Source organism: Homo sapiens, chromosome X (genome assembly GCF_000001405.40).
Source record: "Homo sapiens chromosome X, GRCh38.p14 Primary Assembly".
In the NCBI taxonomy this organism is placed as follows: domain Eukaryota; kingdom Metazoa; phylum Chordata; class Mammalia; order Primates; family Hominidae; genus Homo; species Homo sapiens.
The window spans coordinates 9,248,502-9,275,101 of NC_000023.11; the positions used below are offsets into that span (position 1 = coordinate 9,248,502).

Consider the following 26,600-nt stretch of genomic DNA (forward strand, 5'->3'; position numbering starts at 1 on the left):
AAATATCCATCCAACTGAATACTCCCAAGGGATAGAAAGAAAAGAATGACTGTATCATGCAACTCAAATGCATGATGCTAAGTGAAAGAAGCCAGACAAGAAAACCTCATACTGTATCCTTCCACTTATGTAACATATTAGAAAATGCCAAAAAACAGGTTCCACGCTCAATTTAATGCTCTGCTGTTGCCATCTTTAAATTCTTAATTTTTGAAAAGGGGTCTTCATCCTTTCATTTTGCTCTGGAAGCTGCAAGTGATGTAGCTGGTCCTGCTTGGTTTCACCATGCAGTGTTTTTGAAAATATGCAAGAATTTGGGAATGACATTTGTTCCTATGCTTACCTGTTCCCAATAGGCCCCACACTCTTAATTTTTTTTTTATACCCAGAGCTTCCTGAAACATCCACATTACTGCCTGACTCCAGAAAGCATTCAAGTTTTCAAAACTTGCAAAAGCATGCTGGTCACCTGATCTCAGAAACCGCAAAAGAAAAAAAAAAAAAGGCAATTGCCTACATAAGAAAAATCCTGTTAACCAAGTTTACACTCATTCTCCTCAGCCTGCACTTCAGTGTCTGGTTTGAATCACAGCCACACACTGTCGAGGCCCCTCTGAGATGTGCAAAACTCAGCCTGTCATCTCACTAGATTATTCCAAGTGTTCCAAGGACCGATGGAATTTTTTGCTTTCTGTCTTGATGTTCTCTTGGCACCCACCCAGGAAGGTCTTGGGTAGTGCACTGAAAAGGAACATCTCCAATCTCCATCCAGGAGAATCTTAACAAATGTCCAAATGTCTCTGCTTTCTCAAAATCTGCCTCATGGCCAGGATGGATGCTTTCTGCCCTGTCAAGTTTCCAGCTCCCTTTTCTAAAAGTAGCCTTATAGAGCCCCGTATCTATAGAATTCCTGCAATTGATATCTCTAGAGTTCCTGCAATCGGCATGGCAATCAGCATGGACTTGCGGAATAAAAAGTGTCATCATCTCCAAAAAGCAATCCACACCAGGGAAAAACAAATCATCTTCAATGCTGTGAAAATGCCTTGGTGATCTCTGACAAAGAAATTTAAGGGTTTGTATTAAAACTGGCAGAGCAAACTTCCTGCTGAAAGCCACAGGCCAATCCCCAGAGTAACATACGTCTTGACAGCGAGAAGAGCCACTGACATCACATTATGAGTTTCCATGAGCAACAACGATGGAAGCCATGGAGAAGAAAAACTGCACTGCCAACTGCCTCAAACCACTCCAAAGACAATTTTTAGTACTGGAGGAGAGAAGAGTGCTTTTTCATCATGCAGACTTTCCTGAATTGATGCTGAGAGGGATGCAGCAATTTTGGTGGTCAATTCTGGTGGCGCTTCCAAATGACGTGATGTCGCGAAGGTACATTCCGCACAGGCTGGCCCCTCTACGTTGCTGAGAAGCACTCCACAAGCACACACTCTCGTTATTCCACTCCACACAACTGTGAAGGAGGTGAGTGGAAAATTGTTGCTTTTCTTGTGTTACAGATTTTCTTTAAAAATGTGAGGGTGCAAAGGGTTAATGCGTGTTTTATTTTTGAAATCACAAGGTTGCTCCAATGCCATCTCCAGCTATGGGGGAAAGGAGCTACCACTGAGCAGGGAGTCTCACTCTGTCACACAGGCTGGAGTGCAGAGGTGCAATCTCGGCTCACTGCAACCTCCACCTTCTGGGTTCGAGCAATTCTCCTGCCTCAGCCCCCTGAGTAGCTAGGATTACAGGCACCCGCTGCCACGCCTGGCTAATGTTTGTATTTTTAGTAGAGATGGGGTTTCAGCATGTCAGCCAGGCTGCTCTCAAACTCCTGACCTCAACTGATCCACCCACCTTGGCCTCCCAAAGTGCTAGGATTACAGGCGTGAGCCACCACGCCCAGCCAGCACATTTCCATTTGAGGCTCATCTCCTCATTATTTGGATTTATGAGAACTCAAGTCACAGAGGTAGCATTTTATATGACCCAGAGGAAGGGCAAGCGGGCCCATCAGCCTCTGCAAACTAGCATCGGCAGACCTTGGAACCAAGGCAAGGGGGAAAACTATAAATATTCTTTAGGACTTTGAAGGAAAATGTGTGTGAGAAATAAAAGTGAAATAAAGATTTCCCTATGCTCCAGTTGGTCTAGAGCAGAGCTATGAATAATCTAAGAAGGCAAAACAGCACTGCATTACAGCAGGAGAGAGATGGTAAAGTTGACATATAGAAGGATGTATGTGTATTCATATGTATGCATACGTGTGTGTGTGTGTGTGTGTGTGTGTGTTGGCAGCCGTGTAAACTCATTCAAGTAAAGTAAAAAGACCAGCCTAATTACTCAATTATGGACTGTCTAACTGATCCTGATTTCACAAAGCATTTTCTTTGACAAACATTAATTGAAAGCCTGCTCTACAACCCACCACAAATGAATTTTCCTCAAAAAGTATTCTTTTCAGTATGTCAGTCTTGTGTTCCAGTTACTAGGGTACATAACAAATTATCCCAAATTTGTTCGCAAATCTGCAACCTGGACAGGGCTCGTCAGAGATAGGTTGCTTCTTTTCCTCTCCGTCTTAGCTGAGGGAATTTGAAGGCCAAGGCTGGAATCCTCTGAAGACTCACATGTCTAGATGTTGATATTGGCTGGCTGTTGGCTGAGATCTTTGCTAGGGCTATTGGTTGAACAACTTATACATGGCCTCTTTGTGTAGTGTGGGCTTTCTCACAACATGGTGGCTGTCCAACAGCCAATGTTCAGGGAAGAGGTAGAAGCCATTTAGAATTTTATGACCTAGCCTAGAAGTCACATAGCATCACATTTGCCACATTCTACTTGTTGGGATGGTCACGAAGCCTCACTCAAGTTTAAGGAGATAAGAAATAGACGCTGCCTTCTGATGAGAAATAGCAAGATGCTAGAAGAGACATGTGGGACCAGAAAGCTTACAGTAATTCATGGTCTCCACTCCGGCAACTCACAGAGTGATGATCTATGATACATTCTATTGCATCGTCTAAGACACAAGTGCTTGTGACAATTGTGGAGCCATAAAAAGAGATGTAACCACCACCCAAAGTTCCCTTAGCACCCACAGATCATGAGATTAAAATAGCCTCATGAGAAAAAAATCAGTTATTATTTCTTTATCCACTCACAGCATTAGTACAAGGCAGCTCATTCTGAAACTCATTAGAAATCGTAACATAACAACAGATATTATTATCTGAGAAGATATATCCACTATCCTTGACCAAAAGAATTTAAATGGAAATTTTCTACAGCGTTTCTACAAACCACTATTTCCTTTCTAGCATGCTGGCTTCGACAGCAGAGCAGTGATTTTCAATTTGTTATGTGCTAAATATTTTAATTACATTTTGAAGTAAGCAGCATTCCAGAAAAGACAAATAGTCCAAAATGAGGTAATTAATTCTTGAAGGTAACCATACTAATATATGCATCTTTCATAGCAGAAATTAATTATTCTCAAGACAACTGTCTTTTCCCCTTGTAAATTAGGACATTTCTCCTCTAATTAGTTGAAAATGCCTGTAGGACATTATCACCACTGAGCTATGGAATTTCCTTCAGCAGGTAATTCCAGTTAGAATTGAGAGGTGTTTGAAATTGAAAGCAGAGTTTTAGGCTTCAGCTTGTTTCTGCTCAGTGGGGTGCAGAATCACAAATATAAAACCATCTACGATTATGAAGAGCCATTCATCCTGTATGCATGGGTAAGTAAGTGTTTAGCAGGGTGACCTGGACAAGGTACCAGTGGAAATATCTCTTTCTCATTTATACTGTCATCTTTTATCTTGCAAAAACAGCTCATGCTAAGAATGCAGGAATGTTTTCCCTGTGGGTCAAGCTGCATATCATGCTGAGATCCCAACCAAGAAAGAAAGGGCAGTGTGTTCACTACTGTAATGTGCCACTTAGCGTGTTACTCAGATAAAGTTGAATCTAGAACTATCTACCAGCGCTTCTTTCTGCTCCTCGAGGAACAACAGCACTTCTCCTCCTTGCCCCCCCACCCCCCACCCAGTGAGAGCAGTAGAATGAACAAGGCAGCTTCAGCCCATTGGGAAAGAATAAAGAACCCTTTGCCTGTGTGTTATCAGCCTCAATCATCGTTTAGCATGAACTCTGCAGCCCCCTGAGTTGTTGGTGAACTCAGAATTGGTCAATTCAAGGGAAGGAGGACCAGGCCAATTCACTGGCATAAGGCAACATCCTTGAGAGCTGGACACACACATTCCCAGCTAGATCCAGCCCAATTCCCAATGCATAACATCATCATAATAATAATTAGTGTTTAGTGAATTTGTAATTAATGAATAAATTGTGGCAACTGTCCGGTTTTTTATTCTTTAACAATTGTTTTAGAATTATTCACTTTAGAATTATTCACCAACCAAGTACTAGGTCATTATACGGTAGTCAATAAAGGAAGCATCATCTCTGCCTCGTGGGACATATATTTCAGTAGAATTATGTTTATTCCACTGAAAGTTATTTATATAAATAGAGATCAAGTGCACAACCATTTATTTCAAACCAACTGGCAGAATTGTCTCCTCAGTTGGTTTTAATGCAAACACTCAGAGACCACTGGAGTTAGTGTCAGTTTTTTAAAAACCTTATAAAATATCTATTTTTAACAAGATATAATCTCCTGCAAAGCAAGGTGCAGAAAGCTATAATACCTGCAAGCTGTCCTCCTACATCAATCTTGTTCCAAGATAACAGAAGAAGATGAAGCTTTCAGATCCAAGATTTACCCACCGGGGCTGTACCAGGTTAAATGAATATAGATAAGACATAATCTGGAACAAACAAAACCACAAGAACAGTATGTACTGTAGGAGTCTGATCATGCAAGGTTCAAAAACAGACAATGCTAATTCATGGTGATAAAAATCAGAATAGTTACCCTGGTTGTAGGGGAGGATGGTGACTGAGAAAAAGCATGAGAGAATGTTCCAGGACACCAGCAGTGTTTCTAGTTATCCACTGAATGGTGTTTACAGATGTAAGTATATGGAAAAAAAATCATCAAGCTGTATAGTTAAGATGTGTGTGCTCAGCTGAGCGTGGTGGCTCATGCCTGTAATCTCGGCACTTTGTGGGGCTAAGGCAGGAGGACTGCTTGACCCCAAGGAGTTCAAGACCAGCCTAGTCAACATGGTGAGACATTGTCTCTACATAAAAAAATTTAGCTGGGCGTGGTGGCATGCACCTGTGGTCCCAGCTACTCACGGGGGCTGAGGAGAGAGGATGGCTTGAGCCCAGGAGGTCAAGGGTGCAGAGAATGGTGATTGCACCACTGCACTCCAGCCTGGGAGACACAGCTTTTTTTTTAGAGTCTCTAAATTTTTTTTAATTAAAAAAAGATATGTGTGCTTTATTATATGAAAGTTACACCTCAGTGGGAAAAAAATAAAAGTGTAGAATGGAAAAGATCTTTATGAACTGAAATTTCCAGGACATATTGTTCAGTGGGGAAAAAAAACAAAGTGCAAAGTAATATCTTTATAATATGCTACCCTTCATGTAAGAATGAAGGAGATATAAGAAAATAGTCATGCATTTGTTCTTTTGTGCAAAATAAACAGGAGAGATGAATCAGAAGTGAATGCAGCTGGTTACTTAGAGGGGGTGGGTGAGAATGAAGAAGGAATGAGAGAATGGGAGTGGGGGATCACAGATGGAGGGGTGGAGAGCAGGACCTCTCTGTGTATGTGTTTTGTATGATGCTGACTTTTAGAACTATGTTATGCTTCCCTTACTCAAAAAGTAATAACTAATTAAAATCAGCCAGGACAGTGGTGGTGGCAGTAGGGCAGAGACCCAAAATGGAATTTAAAGAGTAACAAATGAGCCCAACTCTATTGCAAATGCATAACACAGACATGCTAAAAGAAGAAAAGAACTGATCTAAATAACTTTGAAAAACAATATTTTGACTACATACTAGAAGGCTTAAAAGACAAAAAGAAATGTGTACATATACTGTGTTCTAGTTAATACATATTCTTTTCAAGTGGCATGTGAGTTAGCAATTTGGGGACTATAAACATGCATACACATATAAGTTAGGGCTGAGTGAGTTCATAAATATGTTGAGGGTAATGAGGGACAGATGTTTTACTGTTGAAGAATTACAAATACAGGGGAAGGCTAGAATGAACACTGTGATGTTAGACTGGAATCAGTGACAGTATAAACTCATGGTCCTTAATATATAAACATAAAGGTATATACATATAGGTATAGATGGTTATATGTGTATGTCTGTGTATTCATAGATATACTGGGAAATAGCCCTGTTCTTTGAGAGGGTTAAGAATTGACACCACAGTAGCAATGAGCATGCCAAGCTCCCAGATCTTGTTTTCTAAATCCCTTCTCCAATACAAGGAATGGGGGCTCCTTGGAAACTGCTTATTCCCAGACTGAGGCAAGGGAAATACACAATGTTCCAGCAATATCATATGGTGCCTAAAATTAAGGAAGTATTTAGAAAATGATGGGGCCATGTCAAAAGGAATTGACAGTTAAAGGATCTCCCAATGGGCAAATCTGGGGACAACTGGAGCAATAGCAGAAATAGCAAAAAGTACTAATACTAATGAATTATAACCCATAGAATAAAATGATTATCCATGAATTCATTACTACTAAATCAAAGGAGAAGGTATAACTCTTTCTTATCATAGAACTCCCATTATTCAATGTAAAAGAAATGAAAGAAATAGAATATCACCATTTGCATGTATCACAGTAATAACTGTTCTTGAAGAAGCCATCAATGACTGTTAACATTAGCTGGTGAAAAAAATATGATAAAAAACAGGACATTTGTACACTGTCAAAGTGTCTCCTCACAATATTTTTTTATTTCAAAGGAAAAATAGTAACTTTACAATGGAGAATCCTGGCAGACACAGCCTTAGCCAACTGATCAAGGTTAATATCGCCAGTAATAAAACACAGTGACATAATCATGTGTCCCCCTGATAACATGCAGAGGACACAATATCAATTCCTTGGCATTCTTGCAAAAAAACATATAACCTAAATTTAATAATGAGAAAACACCAGGAAAACCCAAATTGAGGGGCATTCTACTAAAAAATTTGCTAGTGCTCTTTGTAAATGTCAAGAATATAAAGAACAAAGAAAGGCTCAAATTGGAGGAGTTAGGGAGACAACACCTAAATGCAATGTGAAGTCTTGCATGCACTCCTGGACCAGAAAAAGGACATTAGTACAAAAATTGAACAAAAACCTGAAGAAAATCTGCAGGCTAACTAATAGTATTATACTCATGTTACTTTCTTAGTTTTGATCATTGTACAATAGCTACATAAGTTACTAACATTTTTGAAAGCTGGGTGAAGGGTATATGTACTATATAAAGGTAATTACTTTGTACTAAAATGTTTGGCAACATTTTTATAAGTCTCAAATTCTTTCAAACTGAGAAGTAAAATAATATATTTTTGCTTTATGCACATATTTAACAGTTTTTGGAGAGGTAGGTAGTGTATCTGAATGGCACCTCTCAAAGTCAAATCCTGTAACTTCAAGGTAATTGACACCATGTGACTTCAAGGTAATTGCTTACATCCTCTATCCCTGATATAATTCTCCATCTGTGCAGTATTTATCATAATCCTCATTTTACAGAAGAGAAAGGTGAGGCAGTGAACACAAAGTGGCCACCATTGGGTATATGATGTTATTATTATTAGAATAAGGGATCAGGGAATGTCATAATGCAAGTGAAATCATCCGTTTCAATTATTTTTTACTAAGAACTTCCTCACCCTATGAAGAATCAAAGGAAGAAGCCAGGGACACAGTGAGTGGGAAAGTAAAGGAAGAAAGAAGATGGAAGGAGAAGGGAGGGAGGCTCGAGAGAGGGAAGGAGGAGTGAAAGAATAAAGACTGCCTCCTTACTGTGATAAATGTGATCTTCAGTATCATCAACATTAAGCCTTCAAACAAAAAAAATAATGTAAGGACTACATCCCTTTATTCATTCCTTTCTATACCAGGGTTCTCAAAAAGTATATCTTCACGCTCATACAATTAAGAGGATAATTGCTAATGTATAATTTGAATTCACCATGTTACTTAATCACTGTTTCCTCATTACATCAATCACAGTAATTGATCATGATGATAACAAATCCATTTCCTTCAGGAAGCAACCCCAATCTTAACCTCTTTTCTAATACTATTTATGGAATCACCCTGCCCAAGTTTTGTGTTTTCTATCTGAAACCTAATTTAGATAGATAGATAAAATGCATAGATGGATGATGGATAAACAGATATGGATGGATAGATAGATAGATGAAATGGATAGATGGATGGATGGATGGATAGATAGATAGAGATGGATTACCGTCGGATGTATACATGCATACCATCATTGGAAGAGTCAAAGAAAATTCTTCGGTGGAGTGACACCCCACTAATACAAGTACGACATGCCACCAAAATCAAAACTACTGTACTCAGGAATATATCTATGCATTCATTTGTTTATCTGCATTATATATATATATATAAATTTTTTTTCTTTTGAGACAGGGTCTTGCTCTGTCACCCAGGCTGGAGTGCAGTGCTGATCATAGCTCACTGAAGCCTGGAATTCCTGGGCTCAAGCAATCTCCCTGCCTCAGCCTCCCAAGTAACTGGGAATATAGGCATGCACCACTGCACCCAGCTAACTTTTTGTAGTTTTTGTAGATATGGGGTTTTGCCGTGTTGCCCATATTGGTCTCTAACTCCTGGCCTCAAGTGATCCTCGCACCTCAGCCTCCCAAAGTGCTGGGATTACACATAACATATATTTATTTAAACACTCAGTATGTACCAGGTTCTAGGTGCTGAGTTGAAAGCAAGGATGAAAACAAAGTCCCTGCTCCCATCAAGAATACTTTCTAATGGAGAAGACAGATATATAAACAATGAAATCTATTATGGCAAGTCCAGACAGGTGACATAAAGAAAAACAGGCTGGGCGCGGTGGTTCACACCTGTAATCCCATCACTTTGGGAGGCCGAGGCGGGCAGATCACCTGAGGCCAGGAGTTCAAGACCAGCCTGACCAACATGGCAAAACCCCATCTCTATTAAAAATACAAAAAGTAACCAGGCATGGTAGCACACACTTGTAATCCCAGCTAACCTGGGAGGCAGAGGTTGCAGGCAACAGAGTGAGACCCTGTCTCAAAAAAAAAAAAAAAAAAAAAAGAAAGAAAGAAAATGAAAAAGAAAGTGTGATAAGAGGAGAGGGATTTCAGAGAGGGGCCACGTGGGAGTGAGTGAGGTCAAGAAAGGTCTCTTGAAAGAATAAAGACCTGTATGATTATCTTGGGGAAAACAGTGACAAGTCACGAAACTGCAAGTGCAGAGACTTGGAGACTGGACTGACTGTGGCAGCCTGAGGAGCAGAGAGAAAGGCAGACTGCTTGCTCAGAGGGAGAGAAGGAATGGGAAGCACATGAAAGGGAGACAGCAGCCACATCATTTGGGATCTTGCAGGCCATGAGACCCCATGTATATCACCACTGGACGTACACATGCACACCATCATTGCAAGACTCCAATACAATTCTTGGCTAGGATGACACAGGAACTTGCAAAAACCCATGGGAAACCAGCCTCCTGTTTTATCTCTGGAGTCCACAGGTTCCTAAAACCCAAGGCAGCCTGGAAACAGGAGTTACGCAGAGCTGGAAACCTTGGCAGAGAGAAAAGCCTTCAGTTAAGCGAGACTCTCCAGGGCGAGGCAGACTTTTTTTTTTCCTCCCTGTTTTTGTTGCTTTTCACATCTGGCTTTCTTGTGTTACTTTCAGACCATCCATCTATGTTTGTGTAAAAGGGTCAGGGCCACATAGCATGGAAAAATGTAGCTTTCTCTGCTTATTTATAGGCCCAGGCCTTTTAAGGCACAGATGCCCAAAGATCTCCATCCCTACCTGGAAGTGGCAAAAGGGCAATGACAGTGGAGCCAAGCCAGCCTCCCAGAGTGTCCAAACCTTATTTAAAGCTTTTTTGGAGCCAAGGACATTTCCCTGAATCTGTTCCAAACTAGAATGAAGATGCTGGTGAATGATATTTTTGCAAAATCTGCAGGCTCAGGAATTGACAGTCTTGACATTTACGTTAAATATGAAGAACCATTTATGAATCCTTGTTGCAGAAGGCTGCTGTCAGCAAGCCAAAAATACAGCATAAAGAATAATAATAATAAAACAAAGCTGGCACAAAACCTTGTTTCCTCTTGAAAAGGCCAATTTTTAGTTTGATGGCAGTGACTCTTAGAACCCAAAAGGAAAACAAATTTCTACCCACACGGTCTGTGCTGCTCTTCTCCTCATGTTAATTTTATCTCACATCTCAAATACATAGTCATTTTTTTCCTATTGAAACTGAAAGGTGTTCTTCCTATTGAAACTCAACGGTGTTCATTCTAAAAATAAGTTGTCTGTATTTAATTCCATAAATGGTTTCTTCCTGGTGAGTGCTATTTTTCAAGAATGTTGCTTGACTGAAGTTATAATAATGAATTAGATACAGTCTCTTGCAAAATTCTTTTGAGATACAAAGTCTTCATGACATGGAAACTAATTGCCCATTAGCTTTGTTCACATACTTAATAAAATATTTCCATGAAGATAATAATCATCAAACTTCTTTGCTTCATGCTGTTCGAGAGCTAGAAATTCCTTTTTTGCCCCCAGTCAAGGGCTATGCACAACGAAAACTCATCAAATGCAAGAGCCACTCAAATCAGCTAGTATTTTTAAAAACTAGACCGCAAATACAAATCCACCTGATATCTAACTGAAAAACATGTCCCTAACATTTTCTAAACACTTCATTAATTTTAGGCACCATATGATATTGCTGGAACATCTTGGATTTCCCTTGCCTCAGTCCCAGAATAAGCAGTCTCCAAGGAGCCCTAGTTCCTTCTATTAGAGAAGGGATTTAGAAACCAAGATCTGTGAGCTTAGCATGCTCATTGCTACTGTGATGTCAATTCTTCTTTCAACTGATAACATTCATCTTCACCCCCACGGTGGGCAGAACGTTCTAACAAGTGCTTCTCACTCCTTTAAGTAGGCAACATCCTGTTAGATTTTTTTTTTCTCCCTATCTTCTTGCCCAAAAAAGATGGAGAAGGGGGCACCAACATGGTGTGCCAGAAGCAGGTGGCAGCTTCCCTGGACCAATTAGCCATTGATTGGTCAGATACTACTCTGCCCACAAAGCCACCTCTCACCCAATCTTTCTTTAGCTGCTTTAAAAGTTCTTCTCTAGATTTCTAAACAAAGACATTGTTCATATCTTCCAAGAATTTTATAGTTTTAGCTCTTACATTTAGGTCTTAGATTCATTTTGAGTTAATTATTGTATACGATGTGAAGTAGGAATCCAACTTCACTCTCTTGCATGTTGAGCATCCAGTTGTCCCAGCACTATTCTTTTAAAAGCCTATTCTCTACCCAACTTAATTGTATTGACTCTCTTGTTTAAAATTAATTGACTACAAATGTGAGGGTTTATTGCTACACTCTTAATTCTATTCAATTCATCTACATATTTACCTTTTTACCACTACCACATTGCCTTTATTACTATAATAAGTTTTGACTGTAAGTTTTATAGTGGGTTTAGAAATCAGGAAGTGTGACTCCTCCATTTTGATCTTCCTTTTCAATATTGTTTCGGTTATTCTGGGTTTGTTATATTACCAGATGAATGATAGGTTCTGCTTGTCTACTTCTGCAAATAAGCCAGCTGGGATTCTGATAGAGCTTGCACTGAGTCTATAGATCTATTTGGGAAGTACTGCCATCTTAATGTTGTTAAGTCTTCCAACCCATGAACATAGACATGGGATGCATTTCCATTTATTTAGGTCTTCTTTAATCTCTTTCAACAATGTTTTATAGTTTTCAGAGCATACATTTTGCACTTCTTCCGTAAGATTCAAAAATGCTACAGAGAGGAAATCAGCAAGGAATCAATGGCCATGGGGTGGGGGAGAGTTAGTGGGACAGAGTTCTGTTGTGACTAACTCATAGCTTTCTGCCTTGAGAGAATGCAAAGATGGTGGTGCCATTAGCTACACCAGGTGTTTTGTGAATGAAGGAGGGTGAAGTGGGTGTCAGAAATACTGAGTTTCAGGAAGTGCCTACTGTGGGTGGTAGTGTCCCCTAGAGTGGCTTTGGTATAGAATTTGAGTATACATGTTCAAGGGGAAGCCTTGGATGTGGCTGAGATCACCTGGAAAAATGAGAAAACCACAGCAGGACCAACATGCACAAAGAGACATGAGTCAGTGGAGAGGCTATACAGGACTAAGGAGCAAGACAGCAGCAAAACCCAGTGGGTATTTTGTCAGTGTAGCTAAAATAAGAGAACATGTCAAGATGGGGTGTCGAGAGGACCCTCAGGAAGGCCAGCAGGAATCAGGCTGCATATGGGGGCCCAAGTAAGCAGGCTGCTGTCTGGTCTGCTTGCCAGTCTGTGAACACCAAGAAGGCAACTACAAGAGTAGCCCATCTTTACAGCAAGTCTTCACACAGCATGGAGGGAGGGGAGCTGAATCAGTGGACACATTGCAGGGACATTAAGTGAGTCCTGGCCCAACAAGAAGCAGATGTCCACGTGGGATTAAGAAAATCAAGATGGTTTCAGAGAGAACACCTCTGTAAAAGAAAGGGCAATGCAAGTCTGCCCCCACTTGAAGGATAAAGGGAGGGAAGGTTGGACCGCTCTTGACTGATACACAGACTAAGACAGGTTCCAGGCTACCCCAGGGGAGTTGTCAAGCCAATGTCAGTCATATTGGGTCGCTGGCTGGGATTAGTCAGTGAGAAACATGGCCTCTGCACCCCTGCACCAACATTGCAAGGGACTGCAGAGCACAGTAGCTGGGGCCCTTGATCAGTTATGCGCCCTGCACTTGGAGTCTGCCAGATTCCGATTCAAGGCTACCACATACATCAATATCTGGTCTGGGTTTTCCTATGTTGCTGGAGAACTCATTAGTAGATGAGAGGTCCCTGTGTACTCTGGAACAATTGAGAGAAGCTGAGCAAAGACCCAAGAGATGACAACAAACAAAAGCCAAGAATAAAGAAAGAAAATTATGTTTGAAAAGGAATGGAGCCTTCATGCATGCCTTTCTTTCCTCAGAATTTTTTTTTTTTTTTTTTTTTTTGAGACAGAGTTTTGCTCTTGTTGCCCAGCTGGAGTGCAGTGGTGCGATCTCGGCTCACTGCAACCTCTGCCTCCCTGGTTCAAGTGATTCTCCTGCCTCAGCCTCCTGAGTAGCTGGGATTACAGGCGCCCACCACCATGCCAGGCTAATTTTTTGTATTTTTAGTAGAGATGGGGTTTGGCCATGTTGGCCAGGCTGGTCTTGAACTCCTGATGTCAGGTGATCCACCCGCCTCGGCCTCCTAAAGTAGAAAATTACATTTTATACCTTCTAGACCAAACACCATGAAACTAATATAATTAATTTTTTTCTCCTGGTAGACTTGAACAATGAATTGGGCTAAAATTATCTCGCCAACAAAATGCACACAATAAAATGAGAAGAGGGGGAAAATTGCACCTGATTCTTTCTAGCACATATCCTATCAGCCGCAGCTAATTAACTAAAGGCCCAATTACCTACTGCGCAAAAACTGTAAAGGAGCAGAGAAGCCTATTCTATGCAGAAAATCTTCATCATAATGAAATCATTAGCTTCAAGAGGAAAAAGAGTTGTACTTCAAACTTGGGAAGCGAGAAGTGTCTGATGGCTTGTCGAATTACAAGTTTCTATTCTACTTGTGGAAAAAAATATTCTGTTAATGTGTTTTATGTGTCAGATGAAAATTGTATCACCTAGCACAGCCTGTCTTACATTCTGGAAATTAATGTTTTAGAGCAGGGGGATTTTTTTTCAACCCAGAACATAATGTATGCTTTGACAAATGAGCTCTCACTTTTGTCAATAATATTCAAAGAGTAAGTAGCAATAGGACAGAGGCAGTTCTATCCATGAGAGAACAGCCAGGCATGCTTTATTGCAGAGAAAGAAAGGGAAAACAGAATAATATTCTGTACAAGAAAATTAAGTTTCAAAAGATTCAAATGTAATGTGTCAAGAAACTCTTATTTGCAAGTGGAATTTAAAAGGAAACCAAACGAAATGATGGATGCATGTTTCAGCCTCATAAGAGGACATTCTCTTCTCCTCTTTCCTTATAAACAGTATGGATCTGGGCCCACTGCTACAACCATCAGACTTCCATCACAGCCAGCATTTGTGTTTGAAAGTTCTGTTTCATCTTCCCCACACCCTGACCCTCCAAAAAGTTCAGTAGGAAATCATCCTGGGATCAGGAGAGCATCAACAGTCGCTGTTCCTGGTGGTTCCAGCCACTCCCCACCCCCTGTGCAAACAGGCTCCAGAGCTTTGAGTTCTTCATTCCCCGGGGCCCTCTCTCTCCACCAAAACCTCACAGCTTTACATCCCGTCCCATAAGGACCAAATCCCAGCTCCGATATAATTAGCTCCAGCCACAGAATAGTATGCCGTAAGTTACACAAAGATCATAGCTGTATACAAACCACATGGAAATGTCTTCCGTACATTTTAAAGATCTTTTCCACATAGCACAGCCTTCTTGCAGATAGTATAATTTACTTATTTGTTATTATCACATATTGTCTCTCCCTCTGCTAGCATGCAGATCCATGGTCCTGGGGGAGCTCTGTATGCTTTATTTGATGATCTACCTATCCCACGCCTTCAAGCAGTGCCTGGGAATCCCTGGCAACAGGTGCTCCATGAATACGTGTTCGATCAACATGCTGAGTGTGCTTAAGGCTTTCCATTTTTACTGTACAGACTTTTTAGTAGTTTTGTTTATAACCAACATATATTTGTGCATTCATAGGGAATTCTGACTGTTAAGATTTTAAAAAGGAAATAAGAGAAATAAAAAGCCTGCTAATGACAGTGAGATAATCTATTATCCTCTATCAATATGACAATAAGTGACAAAGTGAAAATAGTCGATTCAGATCTCAAGGACAGAATGTAGGATTCCCAGGTCCTGTCTATGTTCATACAGAAGATGTTTGGGGTCAAGCAGAGCCTTTGCTCAACTCCACAGAGGTGGCTTCGCCTGGTGTGATCCTCTGGAGAAGTCTCCGTTTCAGCCTCTCCCCATTCTTTGGGTTTCGAGACACTAACCTTCTTGACTTAATAGGACGCGGCTCATATTGGGAACACTGCCAACATACAAGTGAAATAGATTAAACAATAGTGTGCTGCCCTCAGGCTTCTGAAACTCAGATCTAATGAGGACATTTTCGTCTTCATACCCTTAATGACCTCCTGTTGCCCACGAGAGAAACACCAGTTTTTCAGGGTGGGAAACTTGCATGGCTCTCCAGAACATTCTCCAGCCATTCATCTCCATATCGGGGTTTTCAGGTGACAAATCCTTCCTACCTCCCTTCCTTGGGTCACTATTCCTCATGCTCTTCCCCTTCTTCGTGAAAAAGAGTCACAAATATGTCATTCAGTTTGTCATAACCCCTAAGGTCACTCTTTGACCAAAAGCCATTCACTGAAAATAAAAAATGGCAACAGCTATGTACCAAGCACCGGGTTGAAAAACAAAAACAAAACAAAAAAAACTTTCACCGGAATTATTTCATTGTAATCCTCCAAAAAATTCTGTCCACATGATTGTCAGAGTACATATAGAAGGAAACTTATGCTCAACATGTAATAAGTGTGCTTCACTCAAGGACAGATGAAGATGGCAAACAAACGCAGGAAAAGATGTTCGGCATCTTTAGCCGTTAGGGAAGTGCAAATTAAAATCACAGTGAAATGCCACTATCTTCCTATTAAATGGGTAAATTAAGAAAAAAAGAAAAGAACAATAACAAGTGCTGGCAAGGATGTGGAGCAACCAGACTTCCATATATTGCTGGTAGGAATGTAAAATAGCACCGCCACTTCGCAAAACAGTTGAGCAGTTTTTTTATAAAGGTGAACACACACTTGCCATATGCAGCAATCACACTTCTAGAGATGCATTTATACAAGAGAAATGAGAACTTATGTCCACATAAAGACTCAATTGCAAATGTGTACAGTGACTTTATTTGTAATCACCAAAACCTGGAAACAACCCTGTGCCCTTCCACTGAGAAATGGACAAACATTCAACAGTAAGTACATCCATACAAGGGAATCTACCCAGCAATTAAAAGGAAAGGCTAGCAGGGTACAGTGGCTCAAGTCTATAATCCCAGCACTTTGGGAGGCCAGGGCAGGAGGACTGCTTGAGGTCAGGAGTTTGAGACCAGCCTGGGCAACATAGTAAGACCTTGTTTCTACAAAAACAATTAAAAATTAGCCAGGCATGGTGGCACATGTCTGTAGTCTCAGCTACTCAGGAGGCTAAGGTGGGAAGATCACTTGAGCCTAGGAAGTCAAGCTGCAGTGTGCTATGATCGCACCACTGCACTCCAGCATGGACAACAGAGCAAGACCCTGTCTCTTTAAAAACAAAAGGAGAGAGAAAGGCCTACTGACGTATGTGACAACATGGATAAACCTCAAAGACACTGTGCCTAAGTGAAAGAAGCCAGACATGAAAGCCTCATACTGTCTGACTGGTTTTATATGAGATTTTGGGAAAAGTAAAACTACGAACAGAAATCAGATCAGTGGTTGCCAGAGGCCAGGATGGGGGCAAGGACAGACTACAAAGGAATATGAGAGAATTTGGGGAGGTGGGGGGATGACGGAACTGTTCCATATCATGATTGTGATGGTGATTGCACAATTATACTGGCTTGTCAAAGCTCACCAAACTATACCCCTCAAACAGATGCATTTTACTGGATATAAGTTATGCATCAATAAAACTTAGTGTAAAAAATAATCAATCAATCAATCAGAAGAAATACAAGCACCTCATCATAGGCTATAAGGCTTATGAATGGTCAAGCTGGAGCTTACTCTTGCAATGTGTCTATTTATCTATTTACAAATTACCTCCAAGTGCTAATATCAGTAATATCTCAAAGCACATATATGAGGCTAGGAAAATAGCTATCATTAATGAACTTAGACATAAAACTGCATTTCAAATAGTCTCTTGATCATTTTGATTTTTTTTCTGGTCAGCTTCTTGCCAGACCTGATGAAGACAATGTTTGGACCTCTCAATACAGTAAGGAACTCACATCAGGAATACAAATTGACCACTTTCTTGTGGTCACTTGTGCTTGGAGTATTACCCTTACCTTCAGCAGGTTGCACATCTTCAAAAGTCTTTTTAAGCTATTTACCTATGCTGTGAAGGTAGGTTTTACATAAACTCGATGTCATCTCTGGGTTCACATGACCATACCTGGGTAAGGCACAATACATGCCAATATGTGGGATACTGTGGGGTGCCCCACTCTGCCCTTGGATTAATTCTTATTTCATTTCTGACTTGGGACATTTGGCACATGGCTGGGTGTGAGCACCAGTATTGCTCTGTATAGACATTAATAATGCCAAAGATAAAGACTGTTAACATTTATTCTTTTTTTTTTTTTTCTTGAGACAGTCTAACTCTGTCACCCAGGCTGGAGTACAGTGACATAATCACAGCTCACTGCAGCCCCCACCTCCTGGGCTCAAGCAATCCTCCCACCTGAGCCTCCCAAGTAGCTGGGACTATTTGGGAGGCACACCCTACCATGCATGGCTAATTTTTTATTTTTAGAGATGGGGTCTCACTATGTTGCCCAGGCTGGTCTTGAACTCCTGACCTCAGGCAATACTCCTGCCTCGGCCTCAATTCTTTGTTTTTTTTGTTTTTTGTTTTTTTTTTTTTCTGAGATGGAGTCTCGTTCTGTTGCCCAGGCTGGAATGCAATGGCGTGATCTCGGCTCACTGCAACCTCCACCTCCCTGGGTTCAAGCGAATCTCCTGCCTCAGCCTCTTGAGTAGCTGGGATTACAGGCATGTGCCACCACACCCAGCTACTTTTAGTATTTTTAGAAGAGATGAGGTTTCACCTTGTTGGCCAGGCTGGTCACAAACTCCTGACCTCAAGTGATCCATCCGCCTCGGCCTCCCAAAGTGCTGGGATTTCAGACCTGAACCAACACGCCTGGCCTCAATTCTTTATTCTTAAAAATGTTCTAATATTTTCTTCCCACATGGAACAAATTGCTACCAACACCGCCCAAATTATATTCAGTCACTATGGAGGCCTCTACTCCTATTGGCCTCCTCTCCCTGATGCAGTTATAAGACCTTTCACAGACGTGAGTCCTGTGGCCAGTCTTACATACCATACTGGATCCATCAGATCTGACATTCATTGGTCACTACCCTTTTCCCAATTATCTTTCCATCATTGAAAGCAATCTTTTTTTTTTCCCTGCTATTGTCATTTTAGGACATTTCTTCAAGAATGACATTTGTAGAACATTTCCAGAACATTTCCTTAAGAATAATGTTCAGAAAAAAAAACTACAGTATAGGTTTTTTTGTGGACTTCTGGAAGCAAGTGCAAATAGTAGGCAAATCTCTTCAAGGTTACTGATGTCCTCAATCCTACCTTTCAAGGCTGGCAGTCCTGCAGTTTCCTTTCCTAAAACTAAATGGAGTGTGGAGGCTGTCCCCCTACCTCTAGTTTCATGTCCTTCATTGTGTCTTGCTCATTAAAATCCAGGGACCTGTGGTTCATGCATGTAATCTCAAAACTTTGGGAGGCCAAGGAAGGAGGATCACTTGCACCCAGGAGTTTGAGACCAACATGGGCAACATAGGGAGACTCCTTCTCTAAAAAAAAACTAAAAACTTCGCTGGGCATGGTGGCACTCTCCCGTAGTCCTAGCTACTCTGGAGGCTGAGGTGAGAGGATCACTTGAGCCCAGGAGGTTGAAGCTGCAGTGAACCGTGATTGCACCACTGGACTCCAACTTGGGCAACAGAGTGAGACGACTTTGTCTGGAAAAAAAAAAAAAAAAACCTCAGGGACCCACCCACAGTCACCTCCTAGGTCAGGCCTATTTGCGGTTTCCCACTGCTGTGTTTAGACCTTGACATTTTCTGTTTACTTTTTAAGATGCTGGGTGTATGCCTAAGCCTACGATGATAAAATAGGATTGCTCAACTTAGCACTATTGACATTTGGGCAAGGTGATTCTCTGTGGAGGGATACATCCTCTCCACTACAGGATGATGAGCAGCACCCCAGCCTCTACCTACCAGATACCAGGAGCACCCTCTACCCATTTGTGACAACTAAAAATGTCTCCAGACGTTGCTAAATGTCCCATGCCATAAAGTTACCCGCTTTACTTACAAGAAGCACCAAGATCCTAACAACTTGGGCTGCTGTAACCAGAGAATAACTACCCTATTGAATTTGCCAACAAATTGCAAGTAACCCCTTGCGGACAAAAATTTCTTAGTGTAAGGGAAGTATTCATTTTCCTAGAGAAGACGAGAAATTCTTCCTTTCTCACAAGAAAAGGAAAAATGACCTGCAGGCATGTGCTCTGCTTCTCTCAAGAAGCGCCTCCGAGGCGGAGGTTGCAGTGAGTCGAGATCGTGCCACTGCACCCCAGCCTGGGTGACAGAGTGAGATCCTGTCTCAAAAAGGAAAAAAAAAAAAAAGGAAAAAGAAAAAGCACCTCCTAAAGCCCTCTGTTCCTTCTTCGCCAACATTCCTCCCAGAGATGAGGGCTCCTTCTCACTTCCACATGCAGGGGACAGGTGGGCCACACCCAAAAAATCCTTCCATCTTCACCCCATCTGAACTGTAGAGATAACAATGCTAAGTGCCAGCCAGGCACAGGAGCTCATGTCTGCAATCCCAGCACTTTGGAAGCCTGAAGTGGGAGGATCACTTGAGGCCAGGAGTTCAAGACCAGCCTGGGCAACATAGACCCTGTCTCTAGAAAAATAAATGAACAAATAAATAAAAATAATATTTTTCAAAAAATGCTAGTGCCTACCCAGGGATGTAACAAGGATTACACGAGTCATTATATTAGAGCATTTGTAAAAGCACTATTACATATAAATATAATAGGATAACACCATTATGGCCAGAAACTACCGGGACTCAATGACTCTATCACACTCTGGCTTTGCATCCACCAGAGTTTACTAAGCACCCGCACCATGCAGACACTGTGCTAAACCAGTGTCACTGCATTCAAGAAGGTTCTAGTCTGTGAGGAGACAGGGATGATGAAAGTTTAGACAAGGTGCAGACATCGGTGGGAGGTGGTGCCCAAACTTTTCTGGAAGAGTCGGGGAGGGCTTCCTGTAGGAGGCAGTGGTTAAACTGAGACCTGAATGACGAGAGGGAATTTTCCAGGAGCCAAGGAGAATGAAGAGCATTTCATTCAGAGGTAAAAACAATGGGTGAAAGTCCAAGGGCAGAAGGGAACATGACATTTTCAGGAAATTAAATTTCCAAATCACCATCAACCAAAAATATAATCAGGGGAGTTACAGAAAAGAAGGCCAAAGAGCAAGTTGGGGCCAGCTGACATGCAGAAGAGGCAAGATCAGCCAAGTCCATGGGAAATGCTAGGTCAAACCTAAAGGAGTTTAAAGTGTCAAAGGTGGTGGTGAGTTTCCAAAAGGAAAGATCATAAGCAGCAGTTCTCAGATGTCGGTGATGATCTCGGAAGTCCAGGGTTCAGGGTTCTGAAAGGGATCTGGGTTGGGAAACACTGCTGAGAGAATGACAAGTCATTAAAGACTGATTAGATAAAGGAATTTCATCATCAGGTGTGCATGTGACAGATGTCACTCTGACCTGACCAGCATGGAGGGACTGGACAGGATAGGCCCTGAGGCATGGAAAACACAAGATACCCTGGCAATATCCCAGGAAGGGAAAGGCTAAACCCAGGCACGGCCATGGGCGGTGGGCATGGAGGGGCTGGAATGCCTCAGAGAGACACTGAGACGGAGAGGAACAGAGACACCACATTTCCACCTTAAGCAGCAGGTGAGATGGTGGAACCATCCAGAGGGAGAAATCGTAGGAAGAAACTGGTTTGAGGAGGAAGACAAGGATTTCCAGTTAAGTGCATAGAGTTTGAGGTGCAAGTGAACTATCATGAGTATATGGGGGTGGAGGCTCCAGAGACTTGGACTTTAGATATAAATTAAAGAGTCAGTGATCAAGAACTGGGCAGAAACTACTGGCATCAAGTGGTTCTCAGGATCACCTGGGGGGCTGCTTAAAACCCCGAGCTTCTGCTTCATGGGGTCCCAGGTGATGCTGATGTTGCTCATCTGGGAACCTTACTTTGAGAACCACAGCTCTAGATAAAAGAATCCTGCCCTTTCTCCTCTACTTTGGACAGAAATGATAGGTAAGGAAAGCATAAATGTTTCATCTTTTTCTCTCTCTGGCCCTTGAACTCCAGAAGATGGGAGTACTTAGTTTGACTGCATTCTTATTCCAACTTCAGGAGCCCAAATCTACCACAATTTGCCAAATATTAGAAGAGTATGGACTGTAAGACACACCTGTAATTTGAGTAATGCTAAGAAGGAAAAACAGATACCAATAATTATGAGATGTGGCTGATTGAAAGAAGCATTCTGATTTTCAAAATATGAAAGGCTGGAAAATGTGCATTTTAGAATTGACCAAAAGTGGTCTTCCCTGTCCTCTGGGGCCACCCTGGAAAAGTCCAAGCAGAAGCCTGTGCACCAGCAGGAGCCAGGATCCTGGATCTTCCTGCTTTTTTGCCTGTGGTATATACCACCACATCCACAGGAACCTGCCACACACAAGGGCTTTGCTCCCCATAAGATCTCCCAGCAACAGGGTCCTTCACCCAAACCTTCCAAAAGTGCCTCATCCCACATTCCCAGATTCTGCAGAAGCTCTCAAAACTCATATGCAAACATGCAAGGACATTTAATAACAACTCCTGCATTTCCCACTTTCACCCATGATTACAAGTAGTCATACCCAGGGTGTTCTTGCTCAGAGAGCCTACTACAGAAAAGACCCAATTAAGAAACACCATTGGCCAGACGCAGTGCTCACGCCTGTAATCCCAGCACTTTGGGAGGCCAAGGCGAGCAGATCACTTGAGGCCAGGAGTTGGAGACCAGCCTGGCCAACATGGTGAAACCCCATCTCTACTAAAAATACAAAAATTAGCTGGGTATGGTGGCACACGCCTGTAATCCCAGCTACTCGGGAGGCTAAGGCATGAGAATCGCTTGAGCCTGGGAGGCAGAGATTGCAGTGAGCTGAGATCATGCGACTGCACTCCAGCCTGCATGACAGAGGGAGATTCTGTCTCAACAAAAAAAAAAAAAAGGGGGAAGGAAGGAAGGAAAAGAAAGAAAGAAAGAAAGAAAGAAAGAAAGAAAGAAAGAAAGAAAGAAAAGAAAGAAAGAAAGAAGGAAAGAAGGAAGGAAAGAAGGAAAGAAGGAAAGAAGGAAAGGGAAAGGAAAGGAAAAAGAAACACCACTGCCAAAACCAGCAAAAGATTAAAGGAAGCAAACATCCTCATTCTACTATTTCCCCTCTTATGCAGGAGAAATAGCCTGAGTTGCACATATTAACCCATATTGTCTTTTTTTTCTTTCCAAATTTTTAGGTTCAGGGGTACATGTGCAGGTATGTTACACGGGTAAATTGTGTGTCACGGGGATTTGCTGTCCAGATGATTTCATCATCCAGGTAGTCAGCATAGTACCCAGTTGATAGTTTTTCAATCCTCACCCTCCTCCTGCCCTCCACCCTCATGTAGGCCCTAGTATTCATTGTCCCCTTCTTTGTGCCCATGTGTACTCAATGTTTAGTTCCCACTTATAAGTGAGAACATGCAGTATTTAGTTTTCTGCTCCCTAGCCTGACACCGCCCAATGTCCACGGCCAAAATACTTAGGCAAAGCAAAAAGCACAAGGGGCCTTTGCACCTAAAAGACAGTGTCTTCCATTCCAGTCTGAAAGAAACTCCCTGGAAAAATTGGAGCAAAATAGCTCTGTCCTTCCCAGGGTCTCAGAGGCCTCCTCTCTCCTTGGAGAGTATTCTGCCTGTCTCCCTGGGCTCCCCTTTTCTTCTCAGAAGTACAAGTTGAAGGGAATCTCTCAAGCTTCAAGGAGTGTCCAAAGTCAAGCATCTCTGTTGTTGTCAAGCTGCAATAATCATGCTTCCATCTCCAACATACCCTTGTAAGAAGAACACTTTACATATGTTTTACAAAATGTAAAAATGGCTATGTGGAGGTCTAGCAGATCAGAAACAGCAGAGGCCAAGAGTCTACATGTCGAGATCCTTTCTGGCTCTAACCCCAAGGCCACGCTTCCTCCCAGAGGACCCACACCTATATGTAGCTACTGCTAAAATGCTCTCACCCGGGCAGCTCCTGACAGAGAGGCCCAATTCATGACATGCCATTATCGCAGCAGACGAAATTTCAACCAAAACAAATCTGTTATGCAAACAGTTACCAACATAACTTAGAAGGGTATTCTGAAATGACAGGCAGGGAAACCTGACCCCTACCTGAATATCCCAGGAGGACGTCCAGTAGTAGCAAATCCTCCAAGAGGGTCAAAATTGCCTGCTATTTTTAAAACCTGAAACTTTAAATAATTCCAGACCCCCTCCGCCACATGTTGAGCAATCTGCCAGATCAGTTATACACATGGAGTTGAGTCCAACAATCTGCCAAAGAAGGGAGTCTCCCAAATCTGGCCACTTCTCATTTCCATATGGAAAGAATTACCATGACTGGGCAGAGATGGAGGGAGAGGGGAAGAGGAGGCGGGAGAGGTGGCGATGATTCCAAGGAGCTGATCCCTATTATACCATGACGTGTGCAGCATCGAACGTCGTCACTGCAATCATCATTTCACATATTTAAAGGAAGCCTTCAGGAAAAGTTTGTTTTATTCTTTTAAAGATAGTTAATACATTCATTGGAGTTTTTGTGGTTGTTCTTAGTCTTGTTCTCATTCTGTACATAAGAGTTTTTTTTTGGTTTTTTTTTTTGTTGCTGTTGCGTTTTTCGCAAATCTGAGAGTAATTAGTCCTTTGCATTCAAGCTCTGGTATTTGGAAAATTCAGCATTCTTAATAGGTTGACTTTGAGCTACCTTTGGAAATTCAGCTCCCCAACATGCAGGAAAATTCTGACACAACATCTGTTTTCCAGTAAGACCCTGTTTTGACACAATTTGATACTCATTTGCATTGCCCCAGGTGTTGGAAGGTCAAGCAATAGATCCAAGGTCACACTGAAAATGAGGCTCCCTTTTAATTTCCTGCATTCTTCCTGAATGGTTTCAAGAGTAAATGGGTTCCAGGAAACCTGAGGAGAAAGAATGAAATCACTGCAAGACTATCCAAGCTTCCCATGTTTGGTTTGGTTAGAAGACATTTTTAAATAGAGCATCATTCACACGGTCTTCTTCTGAGTTTAGATACCACTTTTCAGGTTCTCTCTGGAATTCCGTAAAATTTTGCAGCTCATCAGAATCATCAACCACTCTCCCCTTGTTCGGTGCAATTGCCAAGTCTATTTATAAAAAGCACATGCTATCTGAACACTTGCTACTCAAAGTATGGTCTATGAACAAGCACCATCAGCACTTGCTGGGCACTTATTCGAAAAGCAGAATCCCCCTTCCCCAACCCCTGATGTAGGATGTCATAAAACACTGTTCCCAAAGTAATTGGGATGCACTGATTAAGCCAGGGGACAGCATGCTACAAGCCTGCAGGCCAAATCTGGCCACTGCCTATTCTTGTAAACAAAGATTTGTTGAAACACAGTTAGAGGCATTAATTTGTCTATGCTTACTTTTGCTGTAATGGCAGAATTGAGACATTTCAACAGAGAAAGGGTGGCCCACAAACATAAAACTATGAATTATCTGGTTCTTAACCAAAAATCTTCACTGACACTGATCTAAACCTTTATTCTACAGGGAGGAAGAGGAAGGATGAAGAAAAGGAAGAAGGAGGAAGAAGGGAGGAAGGAGGAAGCAGGAAGGAGGAAGGAGGAAGAAGAAGGCAGGAAGGAGGAAGGAGGAAGAAGAAGGCAGGAAGGAGGAAGAAGGAAGCAGGAAGAAGGAAGGAGGAAGAAGGAAAAAGGAAGGAGGAAGAAGGAAAAGGGAGGTAGAAAGAAAGAGGAAGGAAGAAGAAACAGGAAAGAGGAAGAAGGAAGGAGGAAGAAGGAAGGAGGAAAGAGGATGAAGAAAAATAAAAGCGGAAGGAGGAAGAAGGAAGCAGGAAGGAGGGAGAAGGAAGGAGGAAGAAGGAAAGATGGAGGAGGAAGAAGGAAGTAGGAAGAAGGAAGATGGAAGGAAGAAAAAAGAAGAAGGAAGTAGGAAGGAGGGAGGAGGAAGAAGGAAGTAAGGAGGAAAAAGGAAGAATGAAGGAGGAAGAAGGCAGTAGAAAGGAGGAAGGAGGGAGAGGGAAGTAGGAAAGAAAATGGAGGAAGAGGAAGTAGGAAGAATGCAGGAGGAATCAGGGAAAAGGAAGAAGGAAGTAGGAAGAAGAAAAAAGGAAGACAGGAGGAAGTAGAAAGGAGGAAGAAGTTAGGAGGAAGAAGGGGGAAAAAGGAAGAAGAAGACGAAGGAGGAGGACACACTTTTTACACAAAGTTCTGCTAATTTAACCCTTATGTGAAACAGTTAAATAGCAACTCCTAGTGAGACAGCAGGCGGAAAGATTTGAAGGAAAACTGTTGCTGCCACAAGGGAAGTTTGATGGCAGGACTTGGAGTGTGTATGCATGATGTACTAATTGAAGCATTAGTACAGTTTCTTTGGGGGGGTGTCAGATGAGTGTAGAGGAACCCCCTACTCTCCACCTTTGCCTAGGGCAATGTCTGCATCAGAGATTGGTGCCAACGTAATAATCAGCCTCACAGAAAGTTGGATTCAGAGTCTGGAAAGATGGAAGATACAATCTTTACAGCCTATGGATAGACCCTCCTTTCCAAACTTCAGCGTTTGGAATCTTAGTACAATTTCTATACCAAAGGTGCTTGCCAAATGAAACTCTGGATTTACAACAAATTGTGTTTTGAAAAATACTGTATTTGCCAGGCGCGCAGCGGCTCATGCCTGTAATCCCAGCACTTTGGGAAGCCAAGGCGGGTGGATTACGAGGTCAGGAGTTCAAAACCAGCCTGACCAATATGGTGAAACCCCTTCTCTACTAAAAATACAAAAATTACCGTGGTGGCAGGCGCCTGTAATCCCAGCTACTTGGGAGGCTGAGGCAGGAGAATCGCTTGAACCCACAGGGCAGAGGTCACAGTGAGCCAAGATCGTGACACTGCACTCCAGCCTGGGCGACAGAGTGAGGCTCCGTCAGAGAGAGAGAGAGACAGAGAGAAAGAAATATTTAAATTGCTCCAGTTCAAATAAGCCGGTAATAAGCCAAACCACCTGTCTCATAGAGAGCTGGAGAGAGAGAAGGGTCAGCAAGGGAAATGATAAAATAAACAAATCACTGCTATGAAAA

At 42.0% G+C, this 26,600-nt stretch overlaps 1 long non-coding RNA gene across 1 annotated transcript; it reads left to right on the forward strand.

Annotated features, from left to right (window-relative positions):
- The first annotated feature begins 1,417 nt into the window (after positions 1–1,417).
- LOC124905242 (uncharacterized) lies at positions 1,418–26,600 on the forward strand. The gene is made up of 2 exons (XR_007068388.1): positions 1,418–1,482; positions 25,055–26,600. It is a non-coding gene; the product is annotated as an uncharacterized LOC124905242 (long non-coding RNA).